The sequence below is a fragment of the Homo sapiens genome, chromosome 6 (genome assembly GCF_000001405.40).
Source record: "Homo sapiens chromosome 6, GRCh38.p14 Primary Assembly".
Taxonomy (NCBI): Eukaryota; Metazoa; Chordata; class Mammalia; order Primates; family Hominidae; genus Homo; species Homo sapiens.
Genome location: NC_000006.12, coordinates 15,723,408 through 15,743,159, shown reverse-complemented (window position 1 = coordinate 15,743,159; position 19,752 = coordinate 15,723,408). Strand labels below are relative to the sequence as shown.

At 43.5% G+C, this 19,752-nt stretch overlaps 1 long non-coding RNA gene across 2 annotated transcripts in view, besides 1 other annotated feature; it reads left to right on the top strand.

Annotated features, from left to right (window-relative positions):
* The window catches only part of LOC102724520 (uncharacterized), a 28,166-nt gene extending 15,046 nt beyond the window's left edge, over positions 1–13,120 (top strand). For both annotated transcript variants that reach the window (XR_427882.5, XR_427883.5), the window contains one exon: positions 12,628–13,120. This is a non-coding gene — a long non-coding RNA (uncharacterized LOC102724520). The remainder of the gene's footprint in view (positions 1–12,627) is intronic.
* Positions 16,855–17,668: an enhancer, noted in NCBI's record as "NANOG-H3K27ac-H3K4me1 hESC enhancer chr6:15725723-15726536 (GRCh37/hg19 assembly coordinates)". NCBI's record gives its function as "activates a minimal SCP1, AML or CMV promoter by ChIP-STARR-seq in naive H9 embryonic stem cells {active_cell/tissue: H9 hESC(naive)}" and the evidence as "EXISTENCE:reporter gene assay evidence [ECO:0000049][PMID:30033119]".

The following is a 19,752-nucleotide window of genomic DNA, read 5'->3' as shown; positions in this document are numbered from 1 at the left end:
GTCACCTTTTGTTCTTTACCAACCAGTGGAACCATCTGCTCGGACTTGGTAGTAGATTGTATTTACTGACGTTGACGCAAACATTTAGGCATGAAATAAGAAATAATAATTTCTACGTAAATAAAAGAAAAACCAACCAAAATTAATAACTGCAGTTGCTGAATCTGAAGAGCAAACAGTTCAGAAAATTTCTAGATAATGGGCTTGGAGCATCTTTAGGCAGTAGAATGAGGATGGCAGTAGCAATCTGACAGGTTTCCTGGTTTGCAGTTTCAGTGTCTTTGGTAATGGCATTTGGCATTTAGTTGAACTTTCTGAATGGCCCTTACAGCAGCCAGCAAAGATTGTCCAGACGTGATCTGTTGTGATTTCTTTGAAGCTTATATATAGAGTTGTCTAGCTTCAGCTTTCAGGACTTTGGGAAAAGGGCAGTTTTAGTCCTCCATGATGTCAAGCCACGAGGGTAGGAAAAAAACTAGAAGTGTTAGTTTGAAGAGTTGTAGTCAGATCAGAGGAAATGAAAAGAATTGAGAATTTGTTAAGGACTGACAAAACGTACAAGACAGAGCCTACCAGGGTGCACTATTGTTTTCCATTGAAACATAAAATTTTTCTCTATAATTACTACACTCCTTCATTCTTGTTTACAAAATAAATCTAGTCTCATTAGATTTGGCCTGATTATTTACATAAGTGCAGCAAGAATGGTAATTGATCACATAGAACCTTTTGAGTTTGCTTTGCTGGAACTTCTCATAGGAATCTGATATGGTTTGGCTGTGTCCCCACCCAAATCCCACCTTGAACTGTAATAATCCCCACGTGTCATGGGAGAGACCCAGTGGGAGGTAATTGAATCATGGGAGCAGGTTTTTCCTGTGCTGTTTTCATGATAGTGAATAAATCTCATGAGATCTTATGGTTTTACAAAGTGCAGTTCCCCTTCACACATTCTCTTGCCTGCTGCTATGTAAGATGTGCCTTTGCTCCTCCTTTGCTTTCTGCCATCATTGTAAGGCCTCCCCAGCCATGTGGAACTGTGAGTCCATTGAACCTCTTTCATTTTTAAATTACCCAGTCTCAGGTATGTCTTAAAGAGTCTAAGACAGAATCTCATATTAAATCTCATATTAAAAGCCTCTGGAGAACTTGCCACCAAACTTCCCCTGCAATATCAATAGACTGGGTAAATTTCTCTCTTCTTAGGGTCACCAAATATCTTTAGGTTTTTAGGCCTGCCAGGGAATGACATCCGTAAGGCTAGAACACTATAAACTGGGTACCAGGCCAGATGTTTCCAAGACAGCTTTATAAGCATTGGTTCCATAAAGTCAACCATAGTTTCTTAAATCAGATTCTATGCACATCATTATTTTATTATTATTTTCTTTTTAGAGGTGGCATCTCACTGTGTTGCCCAGGCTGGTCCTGAACTCCTGAGTTCATGTGACCCTCCCATCTCAGCCTCCCAAAGTGCTGGGATTACAGGTGTGAGCCATCACATCCAGCCCTATGCACATCATTCTTAAATAGGAGATGTCACTCAAAGCCTTGGTAATAAATAACCAATGTTTACAATAGTGTCATATTACAAGACTAGATTCTTATTGAACTGGGGCAAATAATTATATTGCCATGAAAATACAAATCAAAAACACATCCTATTTCCCTGCATACTTTTCATACAGTGTTGTTCCCTTATTATTTTCAATAGGTTTATTGACATATATTGATTGTAATTTTAACCATTAGTAATCTCCTTTTACAGAGAAAACTAAGGGTTAGTAAGGGGTAGACAATTATGAGTTATCTGTCATAAACAAGCATTCTGTAGCAGACTAACAAATTTTATGAAGATACCATCTCACATGTCTTTTTTTTTTTGAGACAGAGCCTTACTCTCTGTTGCCTAGGCTGGAGTGAAGTGGCAGGATGAGGGCTCAATGCAGCCTCAACATCCCAGGCTCAAGCGATCCTCCCACCTCAGCCTCCCTAGTGGCTGGGACTACAAGTGTATGCCACCATATTTGGCTAATTTTTGTATTTTTTGTAGATAGGGGGTTTTGCCTTGTTGCCCAGACTGGTCTCAAACTCCTGGGCTCAAGCAGTCTGCCCACCTCAGCCTCCCAAAGTGCTAGGAATACAGGCATGAGCCATCATGCCCGCCTGCATCTCACACTTCTTATAGCACAACTTTTTATTTTTATTAACAGATCCAAATATTTTCAGTTTCTCTATACCATATAAAAATAAGAAGCCAAAAATATAAACTTAACTTGTGCTTAGTAATTAATACTTGAGTAATTTATCTTACTTAGAAATGATTAATATTTAATAAATATGTATTACTTAATTTAGCATTAAGTCTAAGGATTCAATTTACCAAAAAGAGTTTGGAAACTATTTTCAGACAGATATATTATAACATTAAACTAATATATCATCTCAAGTTATTTCCCTATTAACTATTTTTAACTTTATTTGGCTAGTAATCCCAAGTGGAATAAAAAGTATGCTCATACTATGTTTAATGCTGACAACGAAGAACACGCAACTATTTTTATTAAGCCAATAGTCTTAAACTAACCTTACTTACCAAAGATTTACCCACATCATGTGAAACTGAAAAACATTTGAGTTAGTTCCTATATTTCTGGGAGTTTTAGGAATATTTAGTTTATATAAGCACCCATTTATTTCTAATCAATTTGAATAAAACTCCTTTAAGGAATTTTATAAATTAATTTTGTAATACCATCCAGAGGTAAGAAAATATCACGTATACATAACATACATACATAGACATACATGCAACTATTCACCTTCAATATGAGGGCTAATATTTTTTACCCATATTTGTGGAGGAGACTTAAGATTTTCATTTGCCCTGATGTTTATGGACTACATTTTAGGTAAGAGAGTGAGGGGACATCAAACAGCTGTCTGGACATCTCCAAAGCCTGGCTGAGTAGATAAAATGTCTAGTCTATTTCCAATTAGCCTTTTCTTCTTCTTTTCTTTTGGCCACAGGTGGTTGCTGTTTGGGAATCCCTGCATCCTTTGAGAGTCCCCACTGGAGGCAGCGGGCCTAAAGCTCAAGTGGCTGTAGGCAGTTGAAAGGCTGCAGTGGGAAAGGAAAGGCCTGGCGGTGGGGGGGACAGAAGGCAGAAGCAGCAGGGACTCGAAGGGGTATATCAAAGTGCTCCCCTACAAGAGGACAGAAGGGGGATCAAAGGTAGTAAAGTGAGGGAAGGAGCAAAAGCAGTGGGAAAGGAGTGGTCTTAAAGGGGTCAGTTGGGTGCGAACTTATGTTTCCAAAAGAAGACAACGAAGTTCCACATTATCTTTAGTAAAATCGTGCCAACAAGAAGGAGATGGACAGAGGTGGCAAAGCATATAGTCAGCAGGGGTTAGGGAAGGTGGTTTCAGCCAACTGAGAAGTTCCTATGGAAGAAACAGGATCAAACAAAGCAGGCCTCACAAAGAGCCAGGAAACATTTTCCAATGCACAGTTAGGAAGTCAGACCCCACTTGAGAGAAATAATTGAGAAAAGAGACTTCCAGCCTAGAGAGTCAGGGAGTAATCCTCACTAAAGACAGAGTCAGGAAGAAAAATATCCAGCCCAGCAGGCACCTTTCAAACAAAGAAGCCTGGGCCCCTAGCCCAGCTTCTACTTGCCTAGGCCTCTTACCCAACGTCTGTGTTTTTGTTGTTGTTGTTTTTGAGACACAGTCTTGCTCTTTTACCCAGGCTGGAGTGCAATGGCACGATCTCAGCTCACTGCAACCTCTGCCTCCCAGGTTCAAGCCATTCTCCTGCTTCAGCCTCCCAAGTAGCTGGGATTACAGGCGTGTGCCACCCCGCCTGGCTAATTTTTATATTTTTAGTAGAGATGGGGTTTCACCATGTTGGCCAGGCTGGTCCCGAACTCCTGGCCTCGAGTGATCCACCCGCCTCGGCCCCGCAAAGTGCTGGGATTACAGGCGTGAGCCACTGTACTTGGCCCCAACTTCTGTTCATCTGGGCCTCTAACGCAGCTGTTAGAGAGTGTACTCAGACTTGTAAGAATCAAAATTTGCCCTTACTGTGCTTCATTTGTCCTGAGCAGTGGTTCAGGACTCTGACTCACCAGTGGATCCCTGATCAATCAGTCAGGAGTGAAGATACAGGCTTCAAAGGTGAGTACTTAACATCCCACCTTTGGTCTGGAGGGGTCCAATAATGAATCTGGCTCTACCCAAGTTGCGGCACCATAACTGTTAAAGATAAAATTATTCACACCACTTGTTAAAACAATAAGGGAGACTTTATTAAGGAGGACTGTGATAATGGGGCTTTTCGGTGGATGAGAGAGACTGGGCTTAACTCCAAATATAACAAGGAAAAGGAGAGATTTATAGCCAAGGAGCAGGGTGGGAGGTAGATGGTCAGAAAATTACTGAGATGGTAGGGTAAGTCTTTCCTAAATTGACCTAATAGGATTCTTGCTAAAGCCAGGCCAGGGTGATCACACATTACCTGGGGGATGTGGGGAATGAAGAAATTGGTCAGATATCAAGGGTGGAGGACTCTGGCTAAACTGACGTGACAGGATTCTAATTAAAATTGAACAATGCAAAGATGGACACAGAAATGCAGAAATCGAGGACTGGCTGGGAAGAGCAAGCAGAGAAGCCTGATTAAAGCACACGTATGTTTATTGCAGCACTATTCACAAAAGCAAAGACTTGCAACCAACCCAAATGTCCAACAATGATAGACTGGATTAAGAAAATGTGGCACATATACACCATGGAATACTACGCAGCCATAAAAAATGATGAGTTCTTGTCCTTTGTAGGGACATGGATGAAGCTGGAAACCATCATTCTCAGCAAACTATCGCAAGGACAAAAAACCAAACACCGCACGTTCTCACTCATAGGTGGGAATTGAACAATGAGAACACTCGGGCACAGGAAGGGGAACATCACACACCGGGGCCTGTTGTGGGGTGGGGGGAGCGGGGAGGGATAGCATTTGGAGATATACCTAATGCTAAATGACGAGTTACTGGGTGCAGCACACCAACATGGCACATGTATACATATGTAACTAACCTGCACATTGTACACATGTACCCTAAAACTTAAAGTATAATAAAAAAAAAAGTAGATCAAAAAAAAAAGTTTGATCAAGGAGAGACTCTCTGTCAAATCAAACACTGCTTTTGTGTCCCCCAAAATGTTTAAATACTCACTTTTTCTTAAAGACAAGAAAGGCATAACATTATTTTTAAGAGAAATACAGATACTTTATTAATTTCAATAACCCCCCAAACTTAAACATTGAGAACTATTTAATGCCTAACAGTATGGAAATCCTTAAAAAATTTTTTTTTAAATCTAGGTATCTATATTCAATTCTATGGAACATTATATTACCCTTAAAAATAATTATAAAATAGTATAAAATTATAAGAAGTACTTGAGACAATGTTTAAAAAATAAAGCAAAATATCAATTATGCAGCATTACATTCATAAAAAATAAAAATGTTCAGGGACAAAAATGTGAACAGTATATGCAAAATGAAAATTAATTGTTTGAAATGGTTAGTATTATGCACTGATCTTTTTTGAAAAAATTATCTTTAATCATTTTATTATGTTCTTCAGTTTTCAGAAGACCTTCAAAGTACCTGCCTTCTTTTCTTTTCCACTCACTAGGCTTATATAGATACTTTCCTAGGGAAATAGAGTGGCCCAATTTAGCAGAAAATAACACAAGATACATGGTCAAATTTGAATTTCAGATATGCAGCACATCACTTTTTTAGCGTTATTAACAATATGTTCCATGCAGTATTTGGGACATGCTTATATTAAAAAATTGGTTTTCTCCTCCCTGAAATTCACATTTAACTGAGCTTTCTGTGCTGTGCTTTTTCTGGCAACCCTATGGGGAAAGAATGCAATATCTTGATGAGCTGCACCCAGGGCCCCTGCGTCTTGGGAAGGGAGCTTGCAGGACATCTTCTCAGGTACCAAGATACAAAAATTATTTTTCCTACTCCACACTATATTGTTCTTTTCAACATTTTTACCATGGCCTGCTAGATGGAAAATGTCTCCCTCAGAGGATAGAAAGAGGCTGCAGGAAATGAAACCCATTAAATTATTTCAGAAGATATTTAGCACAGCTTTCACCTCAGCCTGGCCCACCTCAGCAAGACCTAGAGGGGAGGTGGGGAGGAGGCAGGGGGGCGGGGGAGAGGGGGGGTCTAGGAGTGCAAGAGGAGAAGAAAGTGCCCACAGTACCACAGGAGGGTAAAGAGACCCGCATTTCTTCCACATTGGCCTTAAAGGAAATAAAATTGTGGGCCCATTTGGATTCTTATAAAGCTGAAAATGTACCTGTCCAGGCTAGAGCCAATTTCCTATTACTGCCTCTAGGACCAAGCAGTAGTCCTAAACAGACTACTCAAGATTTCCAACAAGCTTGCTGCAGTGCCTAGTTCTAATATAAAAGTTCTGGAATCCAAAGCAATAATTTAGGAAACACCATAGAAAGCACCCAGTGAAAATCCTGTAATCTGACAGGTTTCGTTTGCATGGGAAATGGGACTGCTGCCTCCTGTAAACTCTCTCACCAGCAATGTGCAGAGTCACTCATGCTCCCTCGCTGGGACCTTTCTCTTGCCTGTCTCCCATCCTAGTCTCCTGCCCAGTCCCCATACTGCACTCCATCCACCCCCGATGAGAACAGCAGACCAAGGTCTCACATTGACCAGAGTGCCCTTGAAGGCCCCACCTGGAAACTGCAGTGCCTGAAAACTGCAGGTAATTTGAGCACCATCCCCTTCCAGGGTTTTCAAAATTTCAAATGAAAAATTTCCTCAGTGTGCTGCAGTTTTTCATTTCTCTATATAAACCCTCTCTGGTTTTCCACCCACCTCTGCTACTTGCCTTCAAAGCCCTAACTCTTAAGTGATTTGCTCCCACTAAATATGAACACATGTTGATAGCTAAGCCTCAGAATAGTCTTGGAAAATCATTCCTACTCCTTAGAGGCCCCACAGGCATTGTGGATAGTAGAAGCAACCTAGGATCTTGAGGCAGAAAGCCTGGATTTGAGTATTTGTTACCTGATCTTGGATGACTCAACCGCTTCAGATTCTTTGTCTGTTAAAACAGAATCCGATCCATCCTACTTATCTCATAGATGTGTTACATGGAAAACGTGGGAGGAAATGATGTCAGTGTGGTTTATAAACTGTAAACCTGCTGTGCTAATAATAGCATGCATTTATCAGTATTCATTATGTGCTAGGCACTGAGCTCTATGTGGCTTATCTCATTGAATTCTCACAAGGTAAATATTATTCCCATGACAGATGACTACGCCAAAGCACAGAGAACCTAAATGTCTTGTTTAAACATCATGCCAGCAGTAAATGGTGAACCTGGAATTTGAACCCAGGCCATCTCGCAGTTGAGCCTACTCACTTACCAACTACTCTGTGCTACTTCCCAGTATAGCAGACTCAAATCATTATTAGAAGCTGAGGCTGAAGCTGCTCCTGCCCTGGCCTCTCTGGGGTAGAAGGCAGTGCTGTTGCCATGGGCTCTCCTGTGACACTCCTTTCTGTATCTTTAACTGTGGATCCCTTTGTGAGGTTACCTTGGAAGAATCAGAACTATTTACTGCTTAAAAATGTCTTTTCTGGCTGGGCACAGTGGCTCACACCTGTAATCCTAGCACTTAGGGAAGCTGAGGTGGGCAGATCACTTGAGGTCAGGAGTTCGAGACCAGCCTGGCCAACATGGTGAAACCCCATCCCTACAAAAAAAAATAGCCAAGTGGCATGCCTGTAGGAGTCCTAGCCATTTGGGAGGCTGAGGAGGGAGAATCACTTGAACCCAGGAGGCAGAGGTTGCAGTGAGCCCAGATTGCACCACTGCCTTCCAGCCTGGGCTACAGAGTGAAACTCTGTCTCCAAAAAAAACAAACAACAACAACAAAAAAAAAACGCCTTTTCTTTGTCTACCTGTTAAGTTTCAGGGGACATATCTGATTAGCAGCATATACAAATTTGGATAATAAGCTGTGCCACAAGGAGTCCCGCTATTCCAAGACAGATAACAAAGCAGAAACAACTGAATATATAGTTGTGAATCTTTGGGCATTCCACTGGCAGCTGGGTGTAGCGTGGGATTTCTCAAATGTGAGTCAAGTACAGACGTGTTTTTAAGGAAAAAATATTCTCATTGATCATGAAAACTACATCTACCTGCCCCCAGTTTAAGAAATGCTGATGCATGGTTGAAAAGGCAACTCCAAACCTGAACTTAGGAAATCAATTCTTGTCCCACCTTCGCCACTACCCAGCCAGATCATTATTGTTGCCTCATCTGTAAAATGAGACAGCCTAGATCAGAGTTCAGAGGAGGCTGCAAATCCAAAATGGGTGGGCATGTGACCTAACAGTATCCAGACGTGGTGAAAGCAGTAGCAAGCAGCAACTCGACCCAACACACTGTGGCCAAGAGGCAATGCAGGCGCATTTGCTCTTTATCTTCTGATTTTCTGCCAGGAGCCTGGCATCCTTGTCTTTTTGCAAAAATCTACTGATTCTGAGTATTGAAACTAATACAACAATGTTTAAAACATTGGGAGAACCAAACCAAAGACACCTCGGTGAGCCAGAGCTATGTCCCGAAACGCACCAGTTTGACACTCGAAAGAGTTTTCAAACTAAGTCTACCTAAGTTTCTGTGGAGCTATTGTGAAGGCTGCGTGGTGATGTGGGGTGGCCAACCCTTCCCCTACGTCAACCAGAACAGTTCTATCTGCTTTTCTAGTGATACTCCACCAATCTAAGAAATGCTTCCGTGGCTAACCACTGGAATAGCTGATATTTAAGGGAACTTCCTGCTCTAAGATCCACGTGTCTGTCTACAACTGTAGAGGTAGATGTAGATAGAAAAGTCTTTATGGTAGGCTTGTTTCAAAGAAAAAAGAAACTGTTCCGTGGATCCAGAGGGCTGGAGCCAGGAGTGTGTCACCCCCTTGGAAGCATCACCTCAGTGCTGTGCTTCTGGAGGGCTCAGTTTTACTATGCACCTCTCCTACACCTTTGCCTTTCACCAAAAACTGAAGCATGAAATCACAGTTCTAGAAAGAAAGGCCCAGCTCTAAAGAAATACCAGGTTCAAACAGCCAGCCAGCCTGTCTCAGTCCCTCTCAAGTTCTTTGGGCTTATTTAGCAGCAAATGGTGGTGGTTCTTTCCTGAAAATGGTTCTCTGAAAAGCAATTTGTTTCCGAATGTAGCTCAACCTCCCCCTGCTTGTAAGTTGTTCTTAGATCTTTCACTGCCCGTGTGTGTATTCTGTGGAGAAAGAGGCTGTCATGTTTAGAGTGCACGCAGCAGTGAAGCTGAAAGGGACATAATAATGCAAGGGTTTGGGAGCCTCCCTTGGAAATGTGTGAGGGAGTTTTTGCTGCATTCTCACAGTTGAAAGGATGTGGGGTGTTGACAATCCTGGCAGACTCGAGCTCAACAGATGAAAACTGCTGCTTGGATATGGCAGGGAACCGGTGTGTGTGTGTGTGTGTGTGTGTGTGTGTGTGTGTCAGACTTGTCTACCTTCTTTCTTTTACCAATAATTCAAATGTTTCTACAATTATCTTACCACATTATTAAATCCCTAAACTGACAGTGGGAGATTTCTTTAGGATAGTCTAAGGAAACCGAGGTGGATATAACAGAATGAAAATGAAGGAAAGCAATACAAAGACGTTATCAGGAAAATCTCTCGAATGTCACAAGATGATTCTTACTACAGTTTCTCAAAGAGAAATGCCTCATAGAGAATGAGGTGGAACTGAGATGAAACCATTCCACAGATTGCATTTACAAAGGGCTTTATGTCGAGAGAGCAGGAGAAAAAAGTAAAGGACTATGTGATGTTTTCTAAAACCCATCCATGCCTCTAACACTCATCTCTACAAATCCGGAAATCGCAATTAGTGAGATTTTCCGGGATTTGTTTCACTTCCTATGACCCCTCATCCTTCTCTTGAGAGGGAAGATGTATTAATTCCCTGCATCTTCTTTCCGTTTGATCCACTTTATCATGAGGTGGACACTGTTCCAGCACTGGTCTGATATTCTTCTGTACTTTAGTGTCTTTCTCTCTGGCTGAGTGAAGTTACAAGCCTGCATAGATGTCACTAACTTTCCTGAGGGTCTGTCCACATCATGCTTTGATTTTGTTTTTATTTTTGTTTTTGAGACGAAGCCTTGCTTCGTCTCAAAGGAGATTCAGATAAATACTGTCACCCAGGCTAAAGTGCAGTGGCACAATCTCAGCTCACTGCAACCTCCCCCTCCTGGGTTCAAGTGATCTTCCTGCCTCAGCCTCCCAAATAGCTGGGATGACAAGCATGTGCCACCACGCCCAGCCAGTTTACGTGTTTTCAGTAGAGATGGGGTTTCACCATGTTGGCCAGGCTGGTCTCGAACTCCTGACCTCCTGATCCACCCACCTCGGCCTCCCAAAGGGCTGAGATTACAGGCGAGAGCCACCGCACCTGGCCAGGTTTTTTTTTCTTCAGAGGAGCTCATATGAGTTTGGGAATAGAAACACAACAATAATGCCTTTGATAACTTTCTGTAAGAAAATCCCCTCCCACACTGCCGCACACTTTTCACTCTCAAAGGCTTTGAACTGTTGTGTTTCTAAATGGGATCAATGGCATGACCTTTCTTTGCTCTTAACGCACACCCATAATTACAGGTAGTCTGCAAAGCAGGGTCTCCGCCTCTCTTTTCTGTCTGTTCAGGATAAACAATGCTTTAAATGCACTATTAGCCTGTCATGAAGTGGAGCTCAAATATGAAACATCAGTGGCAGCTCTAACTCAACCTGCATGACTTCTGTGTTCCTGTATTGTGTGCTTTAAGTGTAAACTCAAGCACAGACGTTGCTGATAAAAGCACTATTATTTAGATGTTCATTGGCTGACCCTATATATTAGATGTTCTTTTGCCATTTCACACAAATTGATGTTTTGACAGGTGCCATTTTATTTGGTTGGCAGGACTTCACCGTTTTTCTCTTCAGCCCTCTCCGAATAGCTACAAAGGTACAGATGCCAAGCTAATATAATAGGTAGATTTGTTGGCCAGAGGTGATTGTCAGAAGCCAAAATTGACAAGTTCTAGAAAAGACCCTAGCAGTGTGTGCATAAGCTATTTCATGGTATTTTATTTCATAAGGTGGTTTTAATGTAGTTTAATTAATTCTTTTTCTTTCCTCTGATGAATTATTGATCTCTCAGTCTTGAAATGGAGATTCAGATAAATACTTGGCAAAGCAGATTTGATGACCCTTTCTGTTTTACTATAAGGAGGACATCCATCCTCTTTATAATCGCTCTGTGGGCTTCGCTGAAGTATTATTTAGTAGCCTCTCTGGAAAAACACAACACTCTCTTTTTGGGTATAATACCCGGCAGAAAACTTATATTTCCTTCTTTCTGTTGATATAAGGAGGTGAGTTTCATGGAAGACTATAGTTATTTGGACAATTCTTGGCCTCCTCAATTGATTTAAGACAAAGAAAATAGGTATATTTCGTTAGTAATATCTGTGGCGACTAAACTTTTCTGAGTTTCCTTCCTAAAAGAACATTTAGGGAACGTAGCACCCCTCCTCCACCTTTTTAAAAAAGCTTTTTCTCAACAAGAAGGTGCTGCCATTTGTATTATGCCATTTAGGTACTTAATTTCTATATTCAAAGCTGGATGTTGAACTAAGCTACCATGCACCTGCTACACTCTCATTTGCCCTCATTATCTTAAGGATATGGTTGGGATATGGTCATGCTTGTAGAACTTGATGAACTTCAGATCTCTCAGAGGCTGTGTTTTTTATACATGTCCCCCATCAGCCTCCCTCAACCTTTGTTCAGGTTCTTTTGACGGGGCTGTGTGATGCCTGTCTGCATTCTGCCCTTCGCCCCTGACGAATTCATTCAGAAGAAGTCAGAGTTGCTGTTCAACCGAGAACATAAAGAGGCTCTTCTCCCTTGGAAACCACTGTGTACCTTTGATTCAGATCTCTCTCAATCTGCCCTAGGAACTTCTAATAAAAGAATTAGGAGGAATGTTGACATTCTCTGTGTCTGGAAAGGCAGGAGGGCCACCAAAGAAAGAGAACCTATGAGGAAGTGCAGCATAGGCAGTAGGGCACTGCCCAGACCACCTCCTCAACCCCCCACTTCATGAAGGACATGCCTCGTCAGGGATTTCTCAGCTGTGGAGAACTCCCTTGACCGAGGTCACCCCCCTTCCCAGAGTGGCCCACATGGAATAAAAAGGCCGGGCCATCTAGGCCCACCTTGGGACGCTTCTGAAGGGCCATTTCCACTCCAGTGCGCCCCACGGGCAGGGGCTGTGGTGATGCCTGCATGACAGCTCAGCTTCTTCTGCCCACACCTTCCACAGATGTTGATCCTGAGGGCAGTCCCTAATCAACACCCTGCACACTAAACTCTGGGGGACCCACCCTGTGACAGAGTGCTTATTTGGAAAAGGGAAGGGACATTATCATGATCTGCTGTCTTCTATATCATTTCCAGATGCTGGTCTGTTATCACTAACAATAATTACCACTAACCTCTCTGGTAAGGAGACAACACCGAAACAAAACTGGACTGAGAATAAGCTCATAGCAAAGGAGGAAAATCAAAAGTTTTTACCTCATCAGCAGCATCAATGACGTGAAATTGCCAGGCATTTCACCTCTATTACTTCAGTTAACTCTCACAAACATTTGATAAAGCAGATCTTATCCTCATTCTGTGAATTAGGAAACCGACCTGGAGACGGAGAATAACTTGACTAGACCACAGGGATCAAATGCATTTAAGCCTCAGTCTTCTGCCTCCAAACCCCAGCTAAATGTTGCTGTATTCAACATATAGTTAAATAATGCCTTACACATGTACCTTTTGAAAACTGGGCCTTGCCTGCAAAAGATATTGCTTTCAAACAAAGTTATATTGTACTATACTGGTGTAAAGTTTATTTTGTGGTTTAAGACAGTATCTAATAAAGTCTGTGTAACGTGGAGTTTGAATCAAGTTGAGTCCTCTAAAATCCATTGAATAGAGAGGCTGAAACTCTTAACAGTTTTGTATTCTGTCTCTCTGTTTCTTCTGTTTTCTAGTATTAATGGACAGACTGTGTATGAGGATAGATTAGCATTTTCGAGAACGATTTCATCAAAATGCAGCTCAGTCCTTTGACTCCTGCTAGCAGGTTTCCTGGACCCTATGGTAGGCATTTTATGTCCCTCCTTCACCCCTGGCTTCCTCTTTATCCTTTGTTGTTGCTTTGTCCTCATTTCCCCCATTACTTACATATTTGTTTCATCTTTTAACCTGCTGTTTATGTTGCTCTCAGCTGTTTCAAATCCTTTTTAGAAAGTCATTTCCATGTTCTGCATTACTTCACCTCATCTTTTCCCTGTAAGAAAGGTACCAGAATAATAGCTTCTTAATCTTCTAGAAACCACACGGATATCTGAGCCAGCATGGTAGAGGGGTCATAGTTATGCTTCTCCCACACATTTGTTAATATTAGGGAGGCAGAGTTACACAGCGTAACAAGCCTAGGATTTAGAGTCAAATGGACAGGGGCTCAAATCCCAGCCCTACCAATGAATGCTTTGGGCACATTCATCTTTGTACACATTAACCTCTCTGAACATAAAATAACACAACTTGAAATGTTGGGTAGAGTAAGTAATGTATTTGAGGCATCGGAAGTTGTTCAATAAATGGGCCCTGTCATTTTCACTAGATTTTAAGCCCCTCGTGGGCAGAGAAGGCGCCAATTCAACTCCAGCCTCTCAAATCATGCCTGATAGTATTAAGTGTACTCTAAAGTAATGATGCATCACTGAATGGCTGTGAATGACATTGTGGTGCAGGGAGAAGAGCGATGGATTGTGAGCTCTGCCATTAGCCAGTTATATGGCTGTTGGAAGCCTTGTTAGGCCTCTATTTCTTAAGAAGTAAAGTGAGGTATAACTGGATCATTTCTGTGATCCCTTCCAGGTTTAAGGTTGATGATTTTATGGAGTCTGACAAATGTTTGGTCCCAGAGATGGGTAGGATAGATCAGAGATGTCCCCATCTTCTCTCTCTCTCTCTCTCTCTCTCTCTCTCTCTCTCTGCTTCACCAGACATTGGCTGTGTACTGAGCTTAACTTTGCCTAAGGCTGCCTCTCACTGAGCTCTGCAGGAGAGGGAAGGGAGACTCCCAAGGATCACCAATGGCAGCAACAAGAGAGCTTCATCCCCCTATCACAGCACCTTTGAAAGGGACAGAAGCCCTAATACCAGCCAAGATTGTGTATTATTCTGATTGAATTTGCTGGCCCAAAGGAAACCTGAAAAACACTGAAGGAAGCTTAGGAAGCTCCAAAAAGGAGAGATGGCCTTTTCATTAAAGGTGATTAACTTTGAAGATAAGAACTTTGTTCATTAGTCTGGAATCACAGATGTTTTCAGATTTCTGTTTTCTCCTGGCAAAATTCCTATACTAGCAAATCTGGTAACTTCTGGTCAGGTGATATGGATATAAAAGACCTAAGAGTCAGGCAGGCTTCCGGTATGAATTGTAGGTATTCATTGTACAATTCCCTCAACTTCTCTGTATTTTGCAATTTTTGAATCCTTGCAGGATCTCTTGTAATCTACATGACTTCAGATAGGTTAACCACATTCTGTAAGCGTTGGTTTTCTCACCTGTTAAAGAAGAGGGTGGGGGTAATAATACCTACATCTTAGAGTGTTGTGAGGAATATGTAAAGTATCTAGCATATAAACATTTAAGAAGAAAATATTAAGGTTGGCCCTCAAATAATGCAGGAGTTAGGTGTGCCAACCTCTCTGCACAGTTGAAAATCCTTATATAATTTTTAACTACCCCCCCCCCAAACTTAACTATTAATAGCCTACTGTTGACTGGGAAGCCTTACTGATAACATATACACTTGATTAACACATATTTTGTATGTTATATTTATTATAGACTATATTCTCACAATAAAGTAAGCTAGAGAAAACTTTATTAAGAAAATCATGAGGAGAAAATATATTTGTTCATTAAGTGGAAGTGGATCATTGTAAAGGTCTTTATCCTCATTGTCTTCATGTTGAATAGGCTGAGGAAGAGGAGGAAGAGGAGGGTTGGTCTTGCTGTTTCAGGGGTGACACAGGTGGAAGAGGTAGAGGAGGTAGAAGAGGAAGCAGTAGAGGCAGGCACACTTGGTGTAACTTTTCTTGAAAAAAATCCACATGTAAGTGGACCTGTGTAATTCAAATCTGTGTTAAGGGTCAGCTGTAATAGATGTTATTCCTAATCATAGGGGCTAGGCTATGTTTTTGACCCACAGTGAAATGGTGGATAAAATAGAAACATCCTGCCTCTGTCCTCTCCCTGGCCATGTTGTAACATAAAATATCTCTGCCTCCCTCACACCTGCCACACCTCCAGGAACTCTCAGCCTTTGGAAAAGGTATAAATACCCTGCAACAATGCAGCCTGGTGCTGAAATCACCTCCTGGAAGTCTCTTAGGCTTTTCTGATTCATAACTCAGCTTTTTGGATTTGTTCATTGTTTTCCTTTTATCACTTGGTTGCTTTAAGTTTTGTTCTAACAGCTTATTTCCAGCAAGTCACTCCCAACTGGGGGCACCTGGCAGACCCAACTGATCCCCAGTGTGTGTTGGGACAAGACTAGGACCTCTCCCTCTCCCTCTCCCTCTCCCCATGGTCTCCCTCTCCCTCTCTTTCCACGGTCTCCCTCTCATGCCGAGCCGAAGCTGGACTGTACTGCTGCCATCTCGGCTCACTGCAACCTCCCTGCCTGATTCTCCTGCCTCAGCCTGCCGAGTGCCTGCGATTGCAGGCATGCGCCGCCAAGCCTGACTGGTTTTCGTATTTTTTTGGTGGAGACGGGGTTTCGCTGTGTTGGCCGGGCGGGTCTCCAGCTCCTAACCACGAGTGATCCGCCAGCCTCGGCCTCCCAAGGTGCCGGGATTGCAGACGGAGTCTCGTTCACTCAGTGCTCAATGGTGCCCAGGCTGGAGTGCAGTGGCGTGATCTCGGCTGGCTACAATCTCCACCTCCCAGCCTCCTGCCTTGGCCTCCCAAAGTGCGGAGATTGCAGCCTCTGCCCGGCCGCCACCCCATCTGGGAAGTGAGGAGCGTCTCTGCCTGGCCCCCCATCGTCTGGGATGTGAGGAGCCCCTCTGCCTGGCTGCCCAGTCTGGAAAGTGAGGAGCGTCTCCGCCCGGCCGCCATCCCATCTAGGAAGTGAGGAGCGCCTCTTCCCGGCCACCATCACATCTAGGAAGTGAGGAGCGTCTCTGCCCGGCCGCCCATCGTCTGAGATGTGGGGCGCGCCTCTGCCCCGCCGCCCCGTCTGGGATGTGAGGAGCGTCTCTGCCCGGCCGCGACCCCGTCTGGGAGGTGAGGAGCGTCTCTGCCCGGCCGCCCCATCTGAGAAGTGAGGAGACCCTCTGCCTGGCAACCGCCCCATCTGAGAAGTGAGGAGCCCCTCCGCCCAACAGCCGCCCCGTCTGAGAAGTGAGGAGCCTCTCTGCCTGGCAGCCACCCCGTCTGGGAAGTGAGGAGCGTCTCCGCCCGGCAGCCACCCCGTCCGGGAGGGAGGTGGGGGGGTCAGCCCCCCGCCCGGCCGGCCGCCCCTACTGGAAAGTGAGGAGCCCCTCTGCCCGGCCAGCCGCCCAGTCCGGGAGGGAGGTGGGGGGGTCAGCCCCCCGCCCGGCCGGCCGCCCCTACTGGAAAGTGAGGAGACCCTCTGCCCGGCCAGCCGCCCAGTCCGGGAGGGAGGTGGGGGGGTCAGCCCCCGGCCTGGCCAGCCGCCCTGTCCGGGAGGGAGGTGGGGGGTCAGCCCCCCGCCCGGCCAGCTGCCCCGTCCGGGAGGTGAGGGGCGCCTCTGCCCGGCCGCCCCTACTGGGAAGTGAGGAGCCCCTCTGCCCGGCCACCACCCCGTCTGGGAGGTGTACCCAACAGCTCATTGAGAACGGGCCAGGATGACAATGGCGGCTTTGTGGAATAGAAAGGGGGGAAAAGTGGGGAAAAGATTGAGAAATCGGATGGTTGCCGTGTCTGTGTAGAAAGAAGTAGACATGGGAGACTTTTCATTTTGTTCTGTACTAAGAAAAATTCTTCTGCCTTGGGATCCTGTTGATCTGTGACCTTACTCCCAACCCTGTGCTCACTGAAACATGTGCTGTGTCCACTCAGGGTTAAATGGATTAAGGGCGGTGCAAGATGTGCTTTGTTAAACAGATGCTTGAAGGCAGCATGCTCGTTAAGAGTCATCACCACTCCCTAATCTCAAGTACCCAGGGACACAAACACTGCGGAAGGCCGCAGGGTCCTCTGCCTAGGAAAACCAGAGACCTTTGTTCACTTGTTTATCTGCTGACCTTCCCTCCACTATTGTCCTATGACCCTGCCAATTCCCCCTCTGTGAGAAACACCCAAGAATGATCAATAAAAATAAAATAAAATAAAATAAAATAAAGACTAGGTGAACAGCAAGTTTTAAGTGCCTCCTGGCTTTTAGATTCCTAAAAGGGCCCCTAAAGAATAGTTTCTTACAAAGAAGTAAAATCCTTTTTGTAATTAATTGGTTCATTAATGTGTTCCCTATAGATGTAGTGACAAATATCAGGGATGTTAAACCCCATTGTTTTAAGTGGCCCAGCAGACTTGGCCTATTTTGTCAACCTATGCATAAGATAAGTCCTCCTTTCACAGTCTTCAAATTAAGACCCTAGCTTGACAAGCCATTCTTTGCCAAACACTCTACTTTTCGTCTGGTGTGACTTACAGTTTATATGCCTAGATAGCTAATACTAATTGTGCCAGGTATGAAACTAAACACTTGCCATTTAATGACATGCAACATTCCTAGGAGTTAGTTGCTATTGTCACCCCACTTCACAAATGAGGAACTTGTGCTTAGCTCAAGCAGATGCAACTTGTTAAGACGCAGAATTGGGATTTGAATCTAACAGCAAAGTCCAATTTAGAAAGTTTGCAGGGCATTCCAACCTTTTTTGAGCCATAGACCTCTTTAGTAGTCTCATGAAGCTTATGTTCACCTTCTCAGATTCATGTTTTTAAATTAAAAAAAAAATTAGAAATTACAAAGGAAACCAATCATATTGAAATACAGTTATCAGAACGATTTAAAAAACAAATGTGTGATACAGTAATGTTATTAACACATTGAATAGCAAGATATAGTGGCAGTTTCTGGGTATAAACAATAAATTTCGAGATAGTTGCAACAAACGAAATGTGCTACAAAAGTATCTGTGAATTCTATTGGTGATGGGTACTCCAAAAACTACTGGGGATAGTCTCCTGCATTCATAACTGAAGAAAATGCTAAATTTCTCCTTAAAAGTTAGGGGAAATAAAAATGTAATTTTTTCTGGCTGGGTATGGTGGCTCACGCCTGTAATCCCAGTGCTTTGGGAGGCCGAGGCGAGCGGATTACTTGAGGTCAGGAGTTTGAGACCAGCCTGGCCAACATGGTGAAACCCCGTTTCCACTAAAAACACAAAAATTAGCTGGGTGTGGTAGAGTGCGCCTGTAATCCCAGCTACTTGGGAGGCTGAGGCAGGAGAACCACTTGAACCCAGGAGGCGGAGGTTGCAGTGAGCCGAGATTGTGCCACTGCACTCCAGCCTGGGCAACACAGTGAGACTCCATTAAAAACAAAAAAAAGGCCGGGCGCATAGGCTCACACTTGTAATCCCAGCACTTTGGAAGGCCAAGGCAGGCAGATCACAAGGTCAGGAGATTGAGACCATCCTGGCTAACACGGTGAAACCCCGTATCTACTAAAAATATGAAAAACAAAAAATTAGCCATGGTGGCGGGTGCCTGTAGTCCCAGCTACTCGGGAGGCTGAGGCAGGAGAATGGCATGAACTCAGGAGGCGGAGCTTGCAGTAAGCCGAGTTCGCACCCCTGCACTCCAGCCTGGGTGACAGAGTGAGACTCTGTCTCAAAAAAAAAAAAAAAAAAAAGATGTGATTTTTTTATCATCCTAGTTTGTGGGCTCCCTGAAGTCTCCCTATGGACCCCAGGCTAGGAACTTATATAAAGAGACTGAATCTTAAAAATAATTTAAGGCTTGAAGACCTGCATTATCCTTCATTTGTTCTACATGCATGTATGAGCACCTGCTAAGTGCTAGGCATTGAGCTTAGAACTTGGTATATGAGAGTTGAATATGATTCTGGACCTACTTTCATTGCCTACTAAGGGAATCAAATGTATAAACTAATAATACACATTGACAACATAGACCAAGATATAAGCAAAGTATTGTGGATGCACTTGTTTATGATTTCTAAGGGTAAGCTATTGTCTGTCCCCTCCCTCTGTCTAAGCAGTCTGAAATAAACTTCTGTAATTACAATCACTTTTGTCTCTTCTTTCATTGATCAAAAATGCTTTCCAGTATGCATCCATGCTAAATTTGGGGGTCTTCCAATTAGTTGCTCTATTAGTTAGGGTCTGAGTATCTAAAAACAGGATAGTCATTGTAGGGAATCAGTTACACAGATGGTGGGAGAACTGAGAAGACAATAGGGAACTGTGAGGCAACTGAGACATTAGAGATGGAAGCCATTAATACCCATAGGC